The following is a 23,767-nucleotide window of genomic DNA, read 5'->3' on the forward strand; positions in this document are numbered from 1 at the left end:
CCCTCATATACTTTCTTCACTTGAAGGATGTATTTTTTTGTTACCGTCCAAGACTCTTGAATGGATTCAATATAGATTTCCTTGGAGAGAGAATATAGCTTAGTAGTTAGGAAGTGGAATGTAGGTTCAAATAGTCTGGCTTTAAATCCCCGCTTCACCATATCTTAAATGACCCTGGGAAAGTAACTTAATCTCTGGGTCTCAGTCTTATCATCTATAAAATGGAAACAACTCGCGTTTGTCCTTTACTCTGTATCATAGTATTTCAACTTTGGCACCATTGACATTTGGGGACAGATAATTCCTTGCTGCACAGGGACTGACCTGTGCATTGTAGAACATATGGCATCTCAGCCTCCACACACTAGAAGCAGTAGTCCTGCATCCCCCAGTTGTGAGAATTTAAACTGTTTTTAGACACGTTGCTAAATGTTTCCTGGGAGGCAAAATTGCCCCTGGTTGAGAACTGCTACTCTAAATAGTAAATGAGAAACTTATAAAGCACATGCATAGCACATAGCATTGTGGTTATGACCTGTGTTCAAATCCATCTCCTTCATTTGCAAGTTAGATTACCTCAGAAAAGCCACTTAATCTCTCTAAGCATCATTTCTTCATTACAAAATGGGTTTCATCAGCCCTACTGGGTCTATCTCATTGAACAATTGAAAAAAATCAAAGGAAGTCTCTATTATAAAAATGCCATGTAAGCCATTGAGAACTATCTGTTATGACACATTGTTACTGCCTGGTGAATAGTTTGGTAGTGAGGCTGCATGGCTAGACCTCCCCTCCCATGTTCAAAGTGATTTGCAACATCGAAGTGCTCAATACATTTTAGCTTCTGTTGTTATTGTCTCCATTCTACAGTGAAGAACCTGAGACTTGGGGAGATAAAGGAACTTGCCCAATATTGCACAGCATGGTGCACGGAGACGGAATTTAATTCAGACCATGTAATTCCAAAGTTGGTGCTATGTTCAATACATTCTTGTTTCCCAGTGAACACGAGTGCCATTATTAGAAATGAAAGCAGCACCTTCTGTTAGCAAAGGCAGTCGCCATTTATAAAAAGATGTCTGTCTTTTGGTGAGGGTTGGAAAAAGCACTACGGGACAACTGAGAATAAGATAATTTAGATATTTTTCTCCTGATTTTAATTCAGAAAAGAGGTATCCTTAGGGACTTGCAGATAGTTGAAAATGAAAGGGCAGAGCCAACCCCACCTCCATGCTATGAATCATTCATTCACTTAACGGGTTGAGTTGTACCTTCCACATCTGAGCTATTTTAGTTTTAAGTTTGCAAGCCTTGGTTATTCTAGCTTCCTAGGGAAAATCCCTCTGGTGCTTGCAGCCTCACTGGAGCCCTGGCTGTCATTGTGAACACCAGCAGTCAGAAGGTAAATACCGAGGATACTGCTCCTCTTAGCTGACTACCCTAAAGGCAAGTTCCTGATCCCTAAAATTCTATGGTCTGAGCTCAATAGCAACCATCTCACCCACTGCTTCCAAATGTACTCAGTTCAGTTGCTGTCTAGAGAGAATTTCTCCCTCTGGGTCTTGCCTGGCTTTGGAAATTGCATTGAGCCAAGGGTGGCTTGTTGAACTCCTAATCTGGAGCTACATGATAATTGGAAGAGCAGCCTGCCCACGGTGTCGCATTACATCCAACCATGCACCTCTTCTCTCCTAAGTGCCCTCGGGACACGGAATTCCAGGATTCCAGGTAGCTGAGGGGGAATGCAGCACATGAAGCTCAGCAGCAGCCAGAAGATAAGCAGTTTCAAACTGATACTCTTTAAGTCCCCTCCTTAACTACCAATCTCAGTTCCAGCAGAGATGCAGCCACACGGAAAAAGAGAAATGTTTAGTTAGCTTGGGTACAGTGCCCTCCAGGAGGATGGATGCTTGACAAAGTCCCAAGTCCAAAGCATCAGCCTTGGAGTTGAGCTGTACTAGCTGTCTGACCTTCTACTAATCCTTAGGAAAAATTAGGTTTTTCATTTTCTTTTTTTCCAGATGATGAAACGTCTTCAAAAAGAAGAGTAATTTAACCTCCAACTCTCTGTACAATCAGGTAATACTATTGTACTCAGTTGAGGTGAGAGGCATGGTGCATTACCCAGCACATGGCGGGGCACAGTAAGTGTTTGTTTGGCTTTTTTTCTTTTCTCTCTCTCTCTCTGTGTGTGTTTTTTTTTGTTTTGTTTTGTTGTTTTTTTGTTTTTTTTTTTTTTTTGACAGGGTCTTGCTGTCTCACTCAGGCTGGAATGTAGTGGTATGAGCAAGCTTACTGCAGCTTCAGTAGATCGAAGGTGCTGCCCACCACCACACCCAGCTAATTGTTTTGATTTTTAGTAGAGATGAGGTCTCACTACATTGCCCAGGCTGGTATTGAACATCTGAGCTCAAGTAATCCTCCCACCTCAGCCTCCCAAAGTATCTGAATTACAGGTGAGCCACTGTGCCTGGTCAGCAGGTGGTGTTTTGAGTCCTTCCTATAATAACTCTTTGTTGAGCACCAACTACATGCTATTGTCCTGGGCCCGGCCCCAAGATGGTCATTACTGTGCACATTGTAATGCAGCAAGTATGGAATTTGCAACCAACACCCAGATCTTCCGATAAGTTCCTCCTCTTACCAGCATGCAATCCTAGGCAAGTCATTTTCCTTCTCTGCATCTCCATCTCCTTACCTGAAACAAGCAGAGAAGATTTACAACACTCATTGAGATTATACACCTCATGCAGTCCTGGCACAAGATAGGAATTAATGTATTCATTATTTCCTTCTTCCTTTCCACATGTCTGCATCAGTTATGTGTGCTAAGTACTCCACACAGCTCAGAGATGGGAACTTTTGAAACTCTTCTGATCTAGTGCAAATGTTCTGGGGATGGCGAGGATCTGGAGAAGTCCGGACACAGAGTAAATCAGGTTGGAGAGAGATTTTTTTAAAGACATTGCAATTGCTTAGGTGAGGAAGACAGAAGACTTCAGAGGAATCGAAGATGACTCCTAGGTTTCTGGCTCGAACAACTAGGAAGAGGTTGGTGTCAAATGCTAGGGAAGAATTCTCTTTACCTCCTGTCTTAGTCAGTTTGGGCTGCTGTAAAAAATGCTGTCAAAATTTATTTTCTCACAGTTCTGGAGCTTGAAAGTCCATCAAGGTGTCAACATTATTGGTTTCTGGGTGAGGGCTCTCCTGGCTTGCAGACAGCCACCTGCTCCCTGTGTGCTCACATAGCCTTTCCTTGGCGCTTACACCTGGGAGAGAGTGAGGAAACTCTCTGGTGTCTCTTATTAAAAGAGCTTTAATTCCATTGGACCAGGACCCCACCGTCATGACCTCGTCTCATCCTAATCACCTTCAAAGGCTGTGTCTCCAAATACCATCAACTGGGGATTAGAGCTTCCACAAATGAATTTTGAGAGAACACAAACATTTGATTCATAACACCTCCGTATTAATAAGAGAGAAATAATGATGACGCGTATCCTAGTCATCTTCCTATTCCAATGGCTTTGAGCCTCTTTGATTATTTCAGGAGGTGGCTTGCAAGCACATCTGTCTACATTCGTTTTTCTTCCATAAGAAAGATAAAGGGGAAGAGGAGCCTCGGTAGGTGAGTTAGGGCTAAGCTATGAGTTCATAGTGAAGACTTTTGTGACACAAGCATAAAAAACTAGGTTCCTAAGGACCCAGTCAATGTGAGGCTTTGAACTAGAAACTGGGATGTCCGCTGAGTCAGAGGCACCCTTACCCTCAAGGATCTCACGACTTTGTAAATACATGGAGGATTTTCTCAGGAAGTTAGCTGTTTGGACTCTCGTCTCAGGTCATGAACATCTTGCCTCTGAATATGAAGGTCCTTAAGTGTGACTCCATCACTTTCCTGTCCAGGACTTCCTCAGGCAGGGGATGGTCTGCTTACCTGACCCCTAAGTGGCTTGTTAGGATGAATCATGTTCCAGTTCTCTAAGAGGGTTTATGTGTTGGAAAGAATATTCTCTTTGATCTCATGGCTTAGAGTGCATAGGCTTTGTCCAGTTAATCATGTAGCTGGCGTCAGGCTTTGCCAGTTTTTATTTCTTTGAGGCTTTATGGCATTTAAAGGGTTGGAGACTGGCCCTGTAGCGAACATGGTTTTGACTTCAACAGCAACTGAACCTTTTCTCCAGCTCTTTGATAATAATTGATTAGTCTAGAAGTCCAAGCAAAGGTGGGACTTTCTAAAGTGCCTCAGATCTAAGGGGTGATTGAAGGGGTGAGTCTTTAATAAGGACGCACTCTCTCCTCTCCTCTCCTGAGTCATTCCCACATGGTTAAAAGAGCTCTCCCAATAAATTTGATTTTGCCTTAGTGCTTTCCATTTACAAAGTACATTCATTCCACTATCAATTTAACCTCTCAAATCAGCCTTGAGAGGTAGAAAGAGCAAGGCAAATGGGCTTAATTTTGCAACAGAGAAATTCTAACACTCATTAAATGATTTGCTCAATGTCTCATGGGGTACGAGTTGTGAGAGGAGCTAACATTTATTGAGGGTCTGCTATGTGACAGTTTCCTTGTAAACCCTAACTTATATAGTCTACAACTAACCCTGGGTGGGGGGTAGATATTATTGTGCCCAGTTGAAAGATGAAGACACTGAGTCATGAGACATTTAAAGAGCTATTTCAAAGCCTCCCAGCCCTTAGATATTAAGCCAACATTGACTTTCTAGTCTTCTGAGAGTCAGTCTGTTATGCTGTTTAAACTCCTCATGCCTGACTGTAAGAAGATAATAGTACACTATTTATGCTTAGTCAAATCTGGGGTAAGAAGTGCCGTAAAAGGAAAAGAGGCCCATTTTCCCTCTTTACAGAGAGATTTGGAAATTTGCTTTCCTTTACATATGAAATGAAAGAAGACGCAGAGACATGGACCAGCTGCTGCGTGTGCTTCTCTCTGAAGTCTGAGCCGAGATTCCCTAAGCTTGACTGCATCGCTTAAGACCACAGGCCAGGGCAGCAGCCCTTCTGCGAAAAAAGCCACCTTTTAACCGGCTTGTTCGTTTTCTTCTTCTTGCACACTCTGTGGTCTGGCAAGGAGCAGGGGGGCCTCAATAGCAAAGCCCTCACAACAGCAATCCTTCTCAGTTCCCACTCTGAGTGAACCCGGTTCAACTTCTCGGGCTAACAGAGATTTTAATCGAAATGAACTGACAGAGAATTTGCTAAGTCCAAGAACACACAGTCTCGAGGTGACTGGACAGGAACAGAAGCCTCTAAAAGCTGAAAGAATGAGGCAAAGGCTTTCCCCTCGGCAGACTCTGGCCTCCCTTCTTGACACTTCCTCTTGGGCTCTGTGAGTGTTTGCCCAGGGTTATTGGCGATGTCATTGGGTGTCAGCTGATCGACAGCGAAAGGGAGAGGAGCTAGAGCTACTGCAGGCCAGGAGCACACACGCTGGATCTCATCTCATCTCCATCTAACTCCTATGTGAAGTGGGCTGTTGGAACCCCTTTCCCACATTTGAGGAAACTGAGGCTCTAAAACGTGCAGTACGTCGTCTAAGGTAACTGGCTAAACTTGCATTTGAACCTGAATCTGTTTAGCTGCCAAACCTGTGCTCCTCCTACCACCCCACACTGTCCATAGACACACACATAGCACTTTCTAAGGCTCCAAATACTTATCCCATTCTACTATCAGGCAGGGCCATTTAGATCCAAATCCTTTTTCTCCAATAGAAATGAGCTGTTTAAAGGCAATGACCTTCTTGCTCAACCCTTCATCCTTCACCAGACCCATCAAGAGGGCTTGCAAATAGTAGGTGCCCAATAATTGCTCATTTTTACTAAATTCAACATGTAAATGCACACGTACCCTGTAGTTGGTTCTGCCCAAAGACCAAACCCACTGGCTGTGGGTAGCACTTTGTTTTACCCCAAGCTGTCTGATTCCCCACAGGATAGGCAGTGGGTAGATTTTCTACCTATCCTCTTGCGTAGTGGGACTATCATTTAAGCAGCGAACTTTTCCATTCTAACGAAGCTCTAATCAGAGGTGGAAAGGGAAGCTTGGTTATCTGGGGCAGGTTATATAGATCAGTGATTCTTTGGACTCCACAAATTCCCAAATCCACGTTTCAGGTTCTGTTTTCAATCTTCAAGCATTGTAGGCATCTCCCGGGGACTATGAGAAGAATGCTCTAATTTCAGGACAGAGTGGAGCCTAGAGCCAACTTGGCAAGGGCCAGAGGAATATAAATTCAGAGTGACAACTTAAGGAACATGGTTTTAATAGAAACATACTTTTATTTCTTCTCCGATCACATGCTGACTGTCTGTTTGCATAGGGAGCCCCAGGCTCAAATGAAAGTTGTCAGAATTGGTAATTGAGGGGCTCTGCTTTTCCCCCAAAAGCTCCCTGGTCCTCCAGATGACAACTGTGAGAGATTGCTTGGATGCTTGGGGACTTTGTGAAGTCAACATTATACAGCAGCCAGAGCAAATGTAGGTATGATTTGCTATATGCCATGGGGGGGAATTCTGGCACAATTCATTGAAGAAAATGTTAAGAAATCCCTGGACTGTTGGGCACATAAGAAGTGGCAAGGTTTCAAAGGTGAGTAAGACATCTTCTCAAGGAGCTTGTTCGATGGAGAATACAGAGGTGTGAAGACCGTACTTAAAGTTGGTTAAGGGTACAAAATACATTAGTTAGAAGGAATAAGTTCTAGTATTTGATACTACAATAGGAAAATTAAAGTTAACAATAATTTATTATATATTTCAAAATAACTAAGAGAGAAGAATTGTAATGGTCCCAACACGAAGAAAAGATAGATGTTTAAGGTGACGGATATCCCAGTTACCTTGATTTGACTGTTAAACATTGGATACATGTATTGATATATCACATGTATCCCCAAAATATGTATACCTATGATGTATTAATTTTTTAAAGCCCCATAATTGTAATTCTTAGATATTGTAATAAGAGAGTAAAGACAAATAATGAACTCAATTTAGTAAAAACCAAATACAATAATAACATAAGATGTGATATGTTTTCAAACTGTTCTCAGGCAATTGGTCCAACTTCTCATTTTAACACTTGTATGTACTATGCACTCCTTAAGGTTTGGGGAGAAGTCCTTGTAGAAATGTCATTGAATTTTTATTGGAATAAGATAAAGGAAAAGAAAAATAAAAGTTAAAATTAGAGTGGTGTATTAGAAAGTCAGGTACTTTTGTGTGTGTGAAACAGCCTAAGGATTAAGAACAAAGGCTCTGGAGCCAGGCTACTGGGTTCAGATTCTAGTTTTCCCACTTACTGTGTGACTTTAACCAATTGCTTAGCTTCTCTGTGTCTCAGTCTCCTCATCTGTGAAAAGGAGAAAATGATGGTGTCTGCCTCATAGGTTACTGTGAGGAGGAAATAAGTTAATAAAAGTAAAGTGCTCCTAAATGCTATGTGGAACCTAGATTGGATCTTGGAACCAAAAGAGAACATTGATGAAAAACTCATAAATTCCAAATAAAACATAGAACTTAATTAATTTTTTAAAATAATGATCTTGCATTAGAAATATTGTCTGTGTCACAAAATAATACATCACTGGGTATGAGATGGGAGGTGGAGAGAAGTCAGCTCCATAGAGAATGCCTAGAAAGGCTGACGAAGAGTTTGCTGGGTGAACACAGGAAGATGGAGGCCTAAAAAAAAGAATGGAGTGTTTAGGGAATTAACGTGACATAATTTGGCTGGGGCCAAGGTTGTATTTCCAGATGTGAAGGAGAAGCAGGAGATGTCCTCGGAGAATTAGATGGAGTTTAGATGATGCATGGCTTTGTACTCTACACCAAGCTCAAACTGTCGCCTGTGGCAACCACATTGGAGTGATATAGTCAGAGGTACACAGCAGAACAGTGTCCTTGGCTGCAGCATGATGGGTGAAAGAGACTGGGATCCAGGAGACAGAAAGACCAGGAATAAAGCTGATATGGTCATTCAGGCGGGAAGTGATCAGTGCCTGACCAGGACAGGACAGCAGGGCTGAAGAAACAGGAAGGATGAGGCAGAGACCTAAGAGGCATCCTTGGGAGATCGCTGTGATGTTACCCTGCAAGGAAGTCACCAATTGCCTGTCAGAGACCTTTCCAGGGTACCAGGGCCTCGGGATGAATTACTCCCCTTACTTTGAGATGCTTTAGTAAAGAGAGATGCAGAGTTTCAGGAAGAAATGGATCCTCATGTACTTATAGGGGTTTACTCTTTACAGGGCTCCTTCATGTGCGTGATCTTGTTGGTTGTTACAACAGTCCTGAGAGGCACACATTATCATTATTCAAAACTGTGCTTTTGTTTTACTGATTATAGATATTATAGAAACAATCATTGTAGAATGCTTGAAATACTTTTAAAAAAGGAGTAGAAAATTAGAATTGCCCTGATACCCTGATTGATAATTACTGTTAATATGTTGATAAACCAGTTGCTTATAGCAGCTAGCAAGTGAAAAAATGCAAAATTATATTTCAAAACCAATTACATAGTAACAGGTTATATGTTTTAGCATTTTCTATAGTTACAAAATTGGGATTGAAATACAAGTGCTTTATATTCCTGTTTCTGTTTTAGCATTAGATTATAAGCATTTTCTGTGTTAATAAATCCAATTTGCAAGCCCAATTTTCATTGCTGCATAATATTCCTATGTAAAGGTGTGCTATACTTTAGTAATACTATTATCTACTGATAGATATTGATGGACATTAAGTTATTTCCAGTTTTTGCACTCATAAATAATGCCTTCCTGAATATACTTTAACATGTGTTTCCCCCATGTGTTTCTAATTACTTCCTTACAATAAATTCCTGGAAGCAAAATTTCCAGGTCAAAAGATATGCACATTTTAAAACTTGATGTTTCCTGAAATTATTTATTCCAAATGACCATGCCTACTCACAGTGAATGAGCCAACCTGTATTACCCATCTTCATCAGTACTGAACATTATTTTTCAAAAAAATATTTGTCAATCTGATCAGCATAAAACTGTGTCTCATTATTGGGTTAATTTGTATGTCCTCATCACTGGAGTGGTGTAATTATCATACTCATTTTATAGATGTGGGTTAGTGATTTGCCCATACCACAAATTCAGCAGGTGGCTGAGAGTGGACTGCAAGCCAGCCCAAGTGGACTCCTCGGGCAGTGCTGTTCCCACTATGTAATATGTAAAGAGTTGCCTTGATTTCTCTGTGTTTACAGCATTGTTCTCTGGGTTCCCTTTCACTGGGGTCACACCCTCAGGGACTCACTGCCCTAGGTGTCAAGGAAAGAGTGTACCCTTCCTCCTGAGAGACAGCAGTTCCTTCAGCTTCTCAGAGGACCTGGCAGTGGGGAGAGTTCATGCTGTGCTCTGGGTGGAGGCCATGGGTATGGCATGTGCTTGGGTGGCTGGTCCTTCCCCACAGAACCCCAGATGGAAAAGGGACACAATAAGGAAATAAACCCTGTGTTCTTCCTAGAAGGAAAGCCTGGCCTGTCACTTTTCTGCTGAAAACCTTATCATGGTCTCCTTGCCAATATCAGGATCTGGTCTAGGCTCTGTCTTCTGGCACTTAAGGCCCCGAGAACCTGACCTGACCTATATCACCTTAGTGTCCATGTGATGGTCTCTCATGCCAGTCTTGCTGGCTTACATTGCATTTTTTCCTAGGATCTACCTATTTCTTGTCTTTCAGGCCTCAGCTTCAAAGACACCTTCAAGAACCTGTCTTTTCCATGCTCTGAGCATGCCCATGTAAAATCCTCACCTTGGGTAAGATTGCCTCTTTGTGTGGCTGCCTCTCTTCTCAAGGGAAGGGGACTTGTTTTCCTTTTCCCTGAGCCCTGGCAGGGAGGTTGCACACTTGAAAGGTTCCTAGACTGAATCAATGTTAGAAGTCCCATAGAAAACCTACAGGATTCTATCTCAGGTTGACCACAGAGTCCTTCATTCACACAAGAAGTACTAGTTGAAGGACTGCAATGAGCCAGGTACCGTTAGGCACAAGCAATGGAATAGGCACTCCCCATTTCAGTACTTCAGTGCTCATATCTCCAGCAGCTGCAAATGTTGGTGGTTCTCAGCTGGGTTCCTCTCTGGAAATGTCTTCAGTGGAAGAGAACACCTAGCTCAAGGTTTTACCTCTCTACATGGGCAGCCTTCCTCGAAGACAGGTTGTTGGGAAGGTGTTGGTAGAAGCTTGACTCTCTTGTCTTAATTTGGAGCAACTCTGAAGGGCCTTCCCCAGCTCTAGACCTCTCCACAGGACCAGCTGAGTTATTTGTGGACAGTGCGTTGCAGCTGGAATTCTCTATCTGCCCAATCCTGTTCCTCCCACCTTCCCATTGGAGTTGATCCCAAAGACCCTCCCCAGTAAACTTCTTGTGTGCAAATTTCCATGCCGGAGCCTGATTGCTGAGGAACCCAGCCTGACATGATGGTAATAAGAGATATGATACCTGTTATCATAGAGCTTTTGGGCCAGCTTTGTCCATCATAACTACCTTTGTTTGTCCCCTAGGACAAGCAAAAACTATCCAGGCCCAACAGGGCTCTGCTCATGGTGACACTTGGCAGTGTCCTGAGCAAAGACCTTTGTAGCTACACCACTCCATGCAGCCATCATTAAGGCAAGAGCAGAAGAGCAGAACCAGCTTTGCAGCTGGCAATCACTCATATTAGTTCCATAAACCTGTTATTGAGTGTCTTCTGTCTCCCTGTGCTGGTGCCAGAGATAGAGATACCTAAGATATGGCTCTGGATTTCCAGGACCATCTCATGGAGGGGAAAATGAACAAGTAATCAGACAATTGAAAACGTATGGGACAATTCAAGATCTGCAAAGTGCTATGGAAGCTCAGAGGAGATGGTGGTGGCTTACTCAGGGGGTCAGGGAAGGATTCTCAGAGAGGCAGAGGAAGGAGAACATGGTGAGGGCGGTATTCATGGGAAAGAGAAGAGAATAGGTATTTCAGATTGAAGAAATGTGTACATGAAAGAATGAATAGGGGTGAGTGAACAAGCACATTTGTATCCGTTACTTTATTTGTGCTCTGCAACACCCTAATGAAGTTGTCTGCAAACATCCTTATCCCCATTTTTTGAACAGAGAAACTGAGGCCCTGGGAGGATAAACAACTTGTGTGCAGGAAGGGGGTTATCTGTGACCTGAACCTGTATCTTCTGACACCAAATCAGTGGCTCTGTCTGTCACACCATTCAGCCAACATTGACTGAGTTTTTCTCCAATACCCAGCATGGTGCCCAATGAGGACTAAAAGAAGCATAATATCAATGGTCAGCTCTTGAAGAGCTTGGATTCAAGATAAAATTTAAAAAGTTGATAATGTCAAGGGACAAATGCTGAAATGAAGGCCTAAGCAAATGCCCTGGAATCATGGCAGAGGTATGTCCCCCAAAAATGTCCTTAGCCCTGTTTAATATTTGGTACCAATTATTTAGACAAAGACATATAAAGTCTGCTTATCACATCTGTGGTTGACACATAGCTGGGAGGGATAGAAAATATGATTGATGTCACAATCAAACTTTTAAATGATCTCAGTTGTCTGGAACCATGAACCAAACACTGCAAGATGAAGTGCAGGAAGGGTTCACATTGGACCAGCACTTTCTTCCAAATAATCAATTGCTTGAGAATAGGGGGAGCCTGGCTTGGCCTCTGGCCATAAGAGAGATTAGAGACTTCACTAGGCCTCAAGCCAAACTTGCACCAAGTATTTAAATTAAAAGTGTCTTGAACTCCTGACCTCATGATCCACCCACCTTGACCTCCCAAAGTGCTGGGATTACAGGCATGAGCCACCGAGCCTGGCCAAGATGGTGAAAACCCTGTCTCTACTAAAACTACAAAAATTAGCCAGGCGCATTGGCAGGCACCTGCAATCCCAGCTACTCTGGAGGCCGAGGCAGAGAATCACTTGAACCCGGCGGCAGAGGTTGCAGTGAGCCGAGATCGTGCCACTGCACTCCAGCCTGGGTGACAGAGTGAGACTCTGTCTCAAAAAAAAAAAAAAAAAAAAGTGTCACAAACTGGCATACCCTGAGTCTGTGTGGCAATTATATTCATAGTCATTGCATACATTTAATGGGACATTTTATGAATTACCTTCGAGATGGTTTAATGGGACATTTTGTGAGTCATGTTGGAGATGGAGTGGTGCTGGAGGGACAGCATCTTCAGATGACAGAGGAAGATGCTTATAAATCTCTTTATCCAGGCAGTTCTCTCAGTGCACCTACCACATGCCAGGCCTGTGCCAGGTCTTGGACAACATGGAATATCAGCCTAGGAAGCCCCAGGACCTTGCAGAAGGACTTATGCATAAACTCTTGTGTGCCTCTGGGAAAGTCATGGAGGCTTGCTAGGCATCATTTTCCTTATTTATAAAATGGATGCTATAATTTGCATCTCATAGGACCTTGTGAGTAATAATGAATGAGATCATGAATGTAGAATGATGAACACAGAGCTTGGGCTGAAGCTTGTATTTAAAAAGGGTGCTTACTGTTAATATCCAGACAAATCTGGAGACATCTATAAATAGGCAGCAGGGTCGCAGGACCTGTGGACTTGGATTTAGGGTCAGGCCTTCAGTCTTCAGGTGGGTTCAGGAAAGGCTGATTTTTCTCTCTATGAATGTGTGTGTGTGTGAAAAATTTCAAGCTCAAGAAAAGACACAGCTTCAGTGTACTTGGGGCATTAATCAGATTCGAGAGACAGTCATCCACTTAACCAGAATGACACCCAATAGTGGGCATAAATTCTCGGGTATCAGGAAGTTGCCCACAGTATCTGAATTAGGGCAAAAAGTCAAAGCTATCTTGGCAGCAAAAAAGATGAGACTGATTTCCACAGTTCTGGCTGGGGTTCCCTTAATCCACTTTCCTTCAGGATAGGTTGGTCTCTGGGCCTCTGAGTTTCTTCATTTGCAAAATGAGAGGGCTGGACCAGATTAGTGGTTCTCAAATATACAGTCTTGGAGAGGTGCTGGCCTATGTTGGAGTCAAATCCATGACATCCCGCTCAGATAACTTCCTGACTGTTCTATGTTGGGATACTAGGGAGAAAAATTGCTCCTTGCTGTGAATAGCCACATAGAAAAAAACACTGGCATGTCCTTTCCTGCCACCCTCTCCAGCCAGACTTGGGCTACCTTAGTGAACTTTCTTTTCAGCTTTGGGCCAAGAAAGGGATGAACACTGCTAGAGATATGGTGGAGTTACTCATCCACTTCTCTGAAGTGCCCAGAATATTATGAATTCAAGGAAGTAGTGACAGTGTGTGCTTTTCATTTTTATCTATAAATGTCTTTGAAATTTGATTTTTGATGACAGTATTAAAAATGAAGTGACCACACTATTTGGAGACTCAGGTTCACTCTATTTTACTATATTGCATAGGTACTCTCCTACCTGACAACCTCTGTCAAGAAAAATATTATCTACAGCATAATTCATAAAATAACATTTTACATTCTATTTTTAATTTTAAAATGTAAAAAGCCTATCTTTTAAAAAGAGTGTTAGATTGCCAAGATATTTTTTTTCTTCCTGAGGTTATGCCTTTTGTTTTTGAGGGGTAGGCTGTTAAAATTCTCATTCTTTTATGAAGTGATGATGACAATTGATGGAACCAGATTTTATTATTTTTAAAATTATACTACTTGGAATAAAGTAATAAAAAGTTACTCAGGATTGCTTTCCTCTTTTAAAAAAAAACTTCCTTGGCCCATGAAATACCAAAAAAAAAAAAAAACTTGAAGAAAAATTTAAGAAGAATTTATTAATTATATCCCTAATGTAAAGAGGCAGATTCACCAATGTAGCTTGGGAGGGCAGTCTTAGTTCTTCAGATACCTATGTTGAATTGAACTCTGTGTCTAGTAACAGGCTTAAGTAGACTAGGGGGTATATAAAAGGACAATCCCTGGCATCACACTTGGAGGATGAGACCAGGGCTAAAATAATTTGATGTCTAGACAAGCCGTTGGTGCTGGCTATCTGGTAATTATAGATTTATATCAAACAGCTTAGCTTGGCATTCAGGTCTCTTTGTGATCTTATTTCCACCTGCCATTAGAACCTTATTTGTCGTCTTTTTCAGAATCCCTTGGGTCCTTAAACTCTGTGCCCAGGACATCCCTGGCAGCCTGGAAAAAGTATGGATCTCTTCTGAAAGTAAGGACTTGAAATCATTAAAAAAATACATAGTATTGCAAAGGAAAACAATGATGTTAAGAGACGGTTATCAAAATAACTGAAAGTGTGATACGGTTATTAACATGCTTCTTTAGTAACACATCAAAAAACAAGCTCTAGCATCAGGTCTGATGCCATTGGAATTTTGAAGTTATAATGAGTGTAAGTGCTATTCTAAGATATCTTCAACAAAAGTGATGTGTTATAAAAATATCTGTGATTTCTACTGATACAAGGTCAAGGTGCTATTAATACTACTATGGTTTGTTGTCTGCATGCATACTTGAAGAAAATGCTAGATTTCAGTGTGAATTCAGTGAGGATTTTGTTTTCTTTTTAATTTGCCATCTCTGAATTCTATCCACTGACCTTTTCAGGGATCCCTGCACCCCAGTTTAAGAACCCCTGCTAGTCAAACTTATGCTAGTTTTTCTAAATATTCCTGATGTTTTCTTGCCCAAGTTTATTATGGTTTTTTTCCCCAATCTGGAATAGTCTCAGAGCCCTGTTCTTATAAATGCAAATTCTACCCATCCAGCTATCACCTCTTCCAAGTTTTCTTTGAGTTTTCTATGGCATAATCATCTCTCTATTATCCAAGGTTCCACAGCCCTGCATCAGTCATTTCTGATAGCCCTTGTATCTATTGTACAGGGGTGATATGCAAATTAATCCTCATGCTATCCTTGTATTATCTACTCCATTCTATAAATTTATTGGAGATCACATCTGTACTGATTCCTATCTCTTTCTCTTGACGTGTTTTCAGATACAGGTGTTGGCCCTGACCACCACACCCGTGTATTCAGAATTAACCAGGTTTCATTTCCCTCAATATAGGGCTCATAAAATGTCACTAGACTCCCTAAATAGCTCATGCCAAATATAAATAACCACTACTCCCTAAATCTGCTTCCTTAACCTGAGTACTCCTGCCTCCTTCACTTAACCCACTCTGTTCCTTCCAGCTAGAATGTTCGCCTCCCAACCCATGTATGCCCGTAAAAATCTTACATGGCCTTAAAGATCAATTTGAAATGTCACTGTCAAAAGAAGACTTCTCTGCTCTCTCTTCCCAACTGAGTATGAGCTGTAAGTCCACATAGCACATTGCCATCCCTTAGCATCACATTCTGCCTTATTTTGTACTTGTCTGTGAATTTCTTTCTTCTCTTCCCATTAGACAAACAGCTGCATAAGAATAGGAACTAATGATTTTCTCTCTTCCTTTTGGTTCTAGCATAGCTAATAAATATGAAATGGAACACTTCTCTCTAGTTCATCTGACTGAAACAACCCACACAAAATTTCTTGGTCTTAAATTTGAGCAGGAAACCTCAAAAAAAAAAAATCAAATGTCACCTCCTACTTCCTGTCTCCCTACTTTGGGCTCAGGACAAGCCTGAAATGGCCCTGTCAAAGTTGGTTTTCTTTGGCCGAAGCCATAACAAGACTTGAGGTGTGCGTGGGAAGAAAAAAATAAAATCAAGTTTTCAAATCTGAAAAATAATTAGTCTTGGCATGGGTTTTTCTAAGGCCTGCAATGAAGACATGCTTGTCCTCATTTTATTTGCTAAGCAAGCTTTTTCTTTCTGTAGGACAACCCACATGCAGATGCAGAACCTGGGGACCAGACAAGGCAGTAACCCTGGAAACCTATTAACTATAGGTGGAAATATAAATAGCTTAGCTCAGCATCCAGAGTTCTTCGTGGTCTTCACCCAACCTGCTGTTACAAACTTAACTCCTCCTCCTCTTCAGCTCACCAACTCTAGCTCAGCACAGCCCAGCCAACATTTATCAGGCCCTGCACTGCACCAAGAAACTGGAAAGGCATTGGAGTTACTAGGATGGACAAGATTCAGACCATTCCTTTGACAGGGACCATATTTGGTGTTTCTCAAGAAGGAGCAATGTTACCCAAACAGGAAAGAGAGAAGACAGATACAGGTAAGACTTTAAACCATACTGCAGAAAATGGTAGTGCCAAAATAGAACTGGGTTTGATTTTGTAGGTCCTGTAGGTACCAAGTGTATTTATATTTATTTTTTAGTGATTATAATAGCCTTTTATAAAATTGCAGCTTTTTGTCTTATGTTAACCTTTGCCAAATTATTTAATATCTCTCCAAGCCGTGGTTTACTCATCTTTAAAATGGATGCTAGCATGCATAGTAGCTATTTCAAAAAGTGTATTTGCATCAGTGCTGGATAAAAAGTGCTTTGCAAATTATCAGATATTATTTTGTTTTTACCAGTTTCTATATACATTGTATAAACAGTCTTACATAGGCCATAGGGAAAGAGAGTGATGCAAGACAGCTAGGACCTTTTCCAAGTCACATACACAAATCACTTGGTGACCCCACATAGATCATTTTATTTTTTCTATCCCTTGTGCTGGATTTCGAAGACAAGGAAGATTGTATCTGCCTTATATCTACCTCTTCCAAAAACAGAGAAGATGATTTAGAGTCCAGGAGACAGGCGGTACCTATGGGAAAATTGAAGGCACAATTTTTTTCATTATCTCTTTCTTTCCCTCTCTCTCTCTCTCTCTCTCAATTAAACTTTGCCAAAGACAATTTTAAAAATATATATTTTTTATTTTCTAACGCTGGCAACATTTTCAGCTTAGAAAACAAGAGTACTTAACTGCTAAAATGACCTGGTTTTTATTTCAAACTTGGAGATGCATCACAAATAGGTTGAGGTCAAAAGATGCATTTCTACCTTAGATAATGAGGAAGTGCAGCAGTGGGCAGATGGCTGTAGCGGAAAGAACATCAGAACTGGGGTGAGGATGCCTGGGTTGAAATTCCTGTTTTGTTTTTCATTAGCTATTTGACAGTGAGCAAATTTGTTCACTTGTCTGGTTCTTAATTTCCTTGTATGTAAAGTAATAACAGCACCATCTATTTTATAGAATTTCATGTCCACATTATATGGACTGCTTATATATTCAGTATATTTATTCTTGATGTAGCTGATGAATTTGGAAAATGTCGTGTAAAAGGCTACTTAAATTCTGTAAATCTTTATTGATTCCCCATGGAAAAACATCTCTACTTTTCTTCTCTATCTTCACTCGCTCCCATGGTGATCCCATGGTGTTTCATGATCTCAGATACTATTTGTATGTGAACATCATGAATCATGAATGATTCTCATCTCTCTGGAAACTCTGTGTCTCCATTTGAATGTCCAATGAGCATCTCAAACTTATCATGTGCAACATGTGTTTCCAATCTCCTCTTTCCAACCTGCTTCACTTAAAATTATCCTCCTTTCTGTGAATAGCAACTTTCTTCAGTTGCTTAAGCTCAAAAACCTTGGAGCCTTTCTTGACCCCCTCCCCTTTCTAACCCCCATTCAAGCTATCAGCAAATTCTGGAGGCCTTCCCTATGATCATAACATGTTCCAGAATCCCACCACTACCTACCATCTCCAGATATCACCACCCCAATCCAAGACACCATTTATTCTCACCTGGATTCTTACAGCAGCTTCCTGACTAGTCTCTGCTTTTTTTTTTTTTTTTTTTTTTTTGAGACAGAGTTTTGCTCTTGTTGCCCAAGCTAGAGTGCAATGGCACGATCTCGGCCCACTGCAACCTCCGCCTCCCGGGTTCAAGTGATTCTCCTGCCTCAGCCTCCCGAGTAGCTGGGACTACAGGCATGTGCCATCATGCCTGGCCAATTTTGTATTTTTAGTAGAGACGGGGTTTCTCCATGTTGGTCAGGCTGGTCTTGAACTCTCAACCTCAGGTGATCTGCCCACGTCGGTCTCCCAAAGTGCTGGGATTACAGACATGAGACACCACGCCCAGTTAGTTTCTGTTTTGCACTTGCTCATGTAGAAACTTCTGAACATGGTGGCCAATGCCATTCTATTTTTTAAAAAATTAGTTTGATCCTGTCACTCCTCTGTTCAAAACCTTCCTAAGACTTTTGACTTGAACTGAGTCAAGTCCAAGTTCTTACCCTAGCCCCCCAGGCCTGTGTGGCCTCTCTGACCTCTAGCTTCCTCCTCTCCAGCCTCACTGGTCCCTTTGGCGCGCCTGAGTACTCTGCCCTGTTCTTATCAGGACTTTCCTTCTGGTGGCTTCCTCTGCTCCCACCTACCTCCATGTCCTGCTCTCTCACCTCCTTCAATCTTTGCCTAAATGTCAACTTCCCGGACCACCCCACTTAAAATTGCACTCCCAATTCCCGCCCTCCCCATCCCCCTTCCTTGCTTTATTTTTATCCACAGCACTTTTCATCTTCTGACATTCTACGTGTTCCACTTACAACTAGAATATAAACCCCATGAAAACTGCCATTTCGTTTTATGCACTCACTTATTCCTCTGTAACTGTGCTTGGCCCTAGAAGGCAATTATTAAGTATTTGTTGAATGAGTGAATAAATGAGTAGGACATTCTATTAAGTGTAAGGAACATCAGCTCATGTACTCCTCATAATAACTATTGGTTACATTATCTCCATTTTACAAACGAATAAACCGAAGGTTTTAGAGATTAAGTAATTTGCTTGTGTTTATTCAGTAGCATATTGTGAGAGTCAAATCAGGTCTGGCAATTTGCAAATTCACGTTGTTTCTATTATGCTACAAAACATAATACATTTTTAAAGGAACTGAAAATATATGCTTAGGTTTTTTTGTTGTTGTTGTTGTTGTTTAAAATTTCTGGCCCTAACTCCTTGCTCTCTACTGGGTTGGTTAGGTAGGAGAAGATTCTGTACACATCCCAGAGATGTGTACATGTGCTGAGCTTCGGCTCTGTTCCCAGATAGAATCCTGTTTCTATCCCCTCTCATCTGGGGCATGAGAGTGTGGAAGGCCAGGCTGGGGAGGGCTGGTGTTTCATGCAAATGTCTCTGCTGTTGATGAGCCCAGCTTGGCTGCATGTTTCAGCTCCCTGAAACCTCCTTCACAGTCAGGCAGGCTTCCGTCTCCAGTCTTTTAAAACTATTTTTTTTTCTTTCCTTCACACAGCTTTCTGTCTCCTTCTCTTAGCTTGACGTTGTGTCTGGCCACACAGGCCATGTGGGCTATTTTTACTGACAGCAGTCACCAGCCCATATGGTTGCCATTACCACAAAATGTTACCTTCATTGACACCAGTTTGCAAGTGAGTGGACGGCGGACAAGGAGGATGTCGAGTCCACATGGCCAGTCACAGGGCTCACAGGGTTTGCCTTGGCAGGTATGTTGATCTTGATGAATGCCCTTTAAAACAAAATGGGGTTGGACAAAATGCCGATTAATTACTTAGGTATTTTGTTCTTCCTTTTCCCTTCCATGTTCATTTTAGTACGTTTTCAAGAGGGTCAAGTTTCAACGGTAGGTTGCTTTTTATAGAGAGGCAGATTTGAGTTTTGTTTATTTCCATTTTTGGAGCTTGCTGCATGGTGGTACCTCCATGGGCGATGATGCTTATTAGCCCCTCGGGGAGTGACAGACAATAGCACACAGCCTTCAGTGCAGAGTCTATGAGTTTATGATGAGATGAAGTGAATCCTGAGAATTCCCTTTCTCTGGAAAGAGGATTAGAGACCCTCAGGGTGTCAATACTGTTGGTAACATCTCTCTTTCTGCATAGAAAACACTTTATAATTCGCACAACATTTTCAAATGCACCGTCTTATTTGAGTCTCACACCCTTGCTATGAGATTGACTTTTTTTCCATCTTCATTTTATAAGTGAGAAAACAGAAGCTGTGAGAGGCTGACTTTCCCAAGTCTGCGTGACTAGTAAGAATCCAAGATGGGATTCAACCTCAGCTTCCTGGACTTCAGGCCAGAGCTCAAGCCTCAACATTACGGCTGCCTCAGTGACTTGAAAGAAAACCGGGCAGGGCTTCTTCAAGGACATAAGCTAGCAGCTCACAATGGGGCCTGATGGGACATGTTGCATCGAAACTAGAAGTTGGCATTGAGATCCAGCCTCACTGTGGCACTACAAAGCTGCCGCCACGTCAGCTGGATGACACTGAAATGGACGAGAACAAAAGGCTTTTTCCTGCAGTGTGTAATGTCCCCTTACCAAGGCCCAGGAGCTATTGTGATGCACTGAGCGTAAAGCTTCCAGAGCAGTGAGTAGGTGAAAAGGAGAACTCTGGGCTGAGAATGAGATTTCAGGCAAAGGTGAGTCACTCTGAGGCCCTACTAGCCCAGCTGGGCCATCTGTGATCAGAACCTTCCCACCAGGCCTACCAAGGTCTTCTCTTCCCCTCCACTTTCTCCGGCTTCGCTGTGCCCTTTCAGTTCCTCAGCCACACAGAGCTCTTTCTTAAAGTCTTTGGCCACGTTGTTCTCTTTTCGTGGAACATTCCTCCCTGTTCTCTGCAAGGCAGACTCTTCCACATAAATGTTCCCATCTCAGAAAGTCTTTTTGTGGCCACTGTAGTTGGTTAAATAAGTGACCTCTCCAACAAGACATGTCCAAATTCTAACCCCTGGAACCTATAAAGGTGACTTTGTTTGGAAAAAGTGTCTCTGCAGGTGTAAATAAGTTCAGGGTCTCCAGGTGAGATCGTTCTGGATTTAGTTGGGTCCTGAATTCTATGACAGGTGTCCTTAGAAGAAGAAGAGAGAACTCAGAGACATTTAGGGAGAAGAAGGTAATGTGGAAATGGTGGCAAAGATGGAGTGGGCAGCCCACGTCAAGGGATGCTGACAGCCAGCAGAGGCTGGAAGAGGCAAGGAGGATTCTCCCCTAGAGCTATCAGAGCAGCCCTGCTGATTTGATTTTGGACTTCTGACCTCTGGAGCTATAAGACTATATTTCTGTTATTTTTAAGCCACCAAGTTTGTGGTAATTTTTTGCAGTAGATCTAGAAAACTAATACAGTCACCTAATCCAAGTAACACCTTCACCCTCCCCACATACACACTGTTGGAATTCATCGCTAATTTCACGTTTGCCTCTTTCATGCCAATGATCGATTTCTAACTCTACCACCATTTGGGATGTCTTATGTTTTGTCCGTATTCCCTCTTCATGTCTCTCTTTAGGCTATCGTTGGCTGAGATAGTTGGCTGACAGTTTTGCGGAATACTGGTCAGGTATTTTGTAGAATGTCCCTCCATTGGAATTCAATGTTTTCCTCATGATTAGACAGGGATTATGTTTTTTTTTTAAAGGAAGATCTCACAGATGTAAAGTGCCATTCTCATCACATCATATCCAGGGTACTCACCATCAATAATATTTATCGCTGTTGATAGTAACGTTGGTCATTTGGCCAAGGCAGTGCTTGTCAGGTTTCTCCACTGTATAGTTACTCTTTTTTTTTTTTTTTTTCCGTTCTATACTGTACTCTGGAAGAGAGTCTCTATGAGAAGCTATAATTCATTTTTAAGCTACAGTTATGCTTTGATTTAATAAGCAATGCTTTAAATAACATCCACATTGATTGTCACAACTCTCTCAATGGAAAATTAAGAGTCAGAGAGGTTAAGCTATCTTCCCAAGGTCACACAGCCAATAAGTAGAGAATGGAGACAAATTGTTAGATCTGACTCCACACTCTGACCTTCTCACCATGCTCTTTTTATACTGCTTCCTTAGAATACTAATCAACTAAATTCTTAACATAAATTTTCAAATGTCCTGGGTCTTGCTCTGCTGAGAGTGAAATAGAAAAGCGGGTTGGGAGGGGTAATAATTTACCATCTGCACTGTCTTTGGAAAACTTTAATATACAGATCTATTCTGTATACCAACGTAAATAGTAAACTAAAGTCCATATGTATTCAAACTTCCTTAGTTTATCTTTGTGCCCCTAACACTATGAATAAGAGCCACACATCATGTCAGCTCTGCCTGGCACACCTGGGGAACTCATACTCTAGCTTTGACAATCTAACCCATTCATAGCAGAGAGCTGTGGAGGGGCACAAAGTGCTTTAGGACCATTATCAAGGGCTATAGGAAAAAGTTAATGTAACATCCTACAATACCACAGTTTAAAGGACTTGAAGGCTCAGAGTGGTAGTAACTTACTGAAGGTTACCCAGGGAGATATTGGTAGAGCAGGAACTAGAAACCAGGTCTTTGATTTAGCTCAAGGCTCCTTCTATTTAAGACAAGTGGCTTCCAAGAAGAAGCATCCCATGGCTGATCATTGTTCACACTTGGCAGGCTCCATTGTTAAAAGCTTAGTCTGAAAAATGGGCTTCCTATTACTGGTGAGTCATTGTCTTCATATCATCTTGACTCCAGCTGACCAGCCAAGTGGGGACATGTAGCTAATTCCTTATGAGCTTCATCTGTCCCTCATGAGTAAATCTTTAACCTCTAGGCTAACAAGGGCTGATGATGAAGGCACCCAAACATAGTAAGTACATAAATAGACTGAAACCAAAGAAAAAGGGAGAGAGTCAAGGATCTCATGTCTGCTATCTTCCTGTCCTACAGGGAAGACATCCTCCTTCCATTGAGGTCATATCAAGAGCTTGGGTGAGGACCACATAAGAAGAGACTACAATCCCACTGGTCTGCATAACCAAGGACAGAAGTCAGGTGACATGGGCTGGACATATTTTCTTTTATGGGATTCAATGAGATCACAACACCAAGGACTACTGCAGTAAGTTAGTGGCATCTAAAAACGCTCAGAGTAGATTCCTTTTAGGTATTTGTGTAACAACTTCAGTGGTGGCAAACATTTGTGTAGAAATTTCTCTTCTGTGCTATCTCCAGCAAGTTTAATGACATGATTGTTAACATTTTACAAAGGAATAAATTAAAGCTCAGAGAAGTTAAATCTCCTGCCCAAGACTATGGAATTGTAGGTGAATTTAAGATTTCAGCTGTGATCTTTTGACTTCCCACTTTGATGGTGACCATCCCTGTCTCCTATTTCTGCTTAAAACACAAACCTATTGATCCTACATATTCCATGCTCCATTCTAAGTTCAGATATGCTAATTCTAATTCTAATGCTAATTTTAGTGTGTTAGTCCATTTGCATTGCTATAAAGGAATACCTGAGGTTGGGTAATTTATAAGGAAAAGAAGCTTATTTAGCTCACAGTTCTGCAGGCTGTACAAGAAGCATGGAGCCAGCATCTGCTTCTGGTGGGGCCCTCTGGAAGCTTGTAATCATGGTATAAAGCAAAGAGGGAGGCCGTATATCACATGGTAAAAGAGGAGCAAGAGAGATGGGGAACTGCCACACTCTTTTAAACAACTGGATCTCATGCAAATTTATTATGACTCTTTTGAGCAAAGAGGGCACCCAGCCATTCATGAGAGATTCACCCCCATAATCCAACATCCTCAAACAGGCCCCACCCCCAACATTGGGGATCACATTTCAACATGAGATTTGGAGGGGACACACATACAAACCACATCAGTTAACAACCAAAAAAGAAGTAGCAAGAGATGTACAAGATATTTTAATTCTATAAACTAAAAAATAAAAAGGGATCAATGGGGAACTTTGGGGTGGATTTTTAAGGGAGAGTCTTTTGTTGCTTCAGA

The 23,767-nt window shown here is 41.8% G+C and overlaps 2 long non-coding RNA genes across 2 annotated transcripts, besides 2 other annotated features; one reads left to right on the forward strand and one right to left on the reverse strand.

Moving 5' to 3' along the window:
- Positions 1-2,408: 2,408 nt before the first annotated feature.
- On the forward strand, positions 2,409-23,046 carry LOC107987112 (uncharacterized). The gene is made up of 10 exons (XR_007061721.1): positions 2,409-3,051; positions 3,148-5,562; positions 6,413-6,502; positions 9,743-9,819; positions 11,156-11,452; positions 14,174-14,247; positions 15,867-16,218; positions 19,270-19,480; positions 19,979-20,421; positions 22,697-23,046. It is a non-coding gene; the product is annotated as an uncharacterized LOC107987112 (long non-coding RNA).
- Positions 2,891-4,090: an enhancer, noted in NCBI's record as "MED14-independent group 3 enhancer chr9:110762694-110763893 (GRCh37/hg19 assembly coordinates)". NCBI's record gives its function as "activates an origin of replication core promoter dependent on BRD2, BRD4, P300/CBP and CDK7 cofactors, and independent of MED14, by STARR-seq in HCT116 cells {active_cell/tissue: HCT116}" and the evidence as "EXISTENCE:reporter gene assay evidence [ECO:0000049][PMID:35650434]".
- On the reverse strand, positions 18,884-21,693 carry LOC124902243 (uncharacterized). The gene is made up of 2 exons (XR_007061723.1): positions 21,477-21,693; positions 18,884-19,503 (listed from the first exon to the last, which is right to left on the reverse strand). It is a non-coding gene; the product is annotated as an uncharacterized LOC124902243 (long non-coding RNA).
- Positions 19,345-20,544: an enhancer, noted in NCBI's record as "CDK7 strongly-dependent group 2 enhancer chr9:110779148-110780347 (GRCh37/hg19 assembly coordinates)". NCBI's record gives its function as "activates an origin of replication core promoter dependent on BRD2, BRD4, P300/CBP, MED14 and CDK7 cofactors, with strong dependence on CDK7, by STARR-seq in HCT116 cells {active_cell/tissue: HCT116}" and the evidence as "EXISTENCE:reporter gene assay evidence [ECO:0000049][PMID:35650434]".
- Positions 23,047-23,767: the final 721 nt, after the last annotated feature.

The sequence above is a fragment of the Homo sapiens genome, chromosome 9 (assembly GCF_000001405.40).
Source record: "Homo sapiens chromosome 9, GRCh38.p14 Primary Assembly".
NCBI classification, from domain to species: domain Eukaryota; kingdom Metazoa; phylum Chordata; class Mammalia; order Primates; family Hominidae; genus Homo; species Homo sapiens.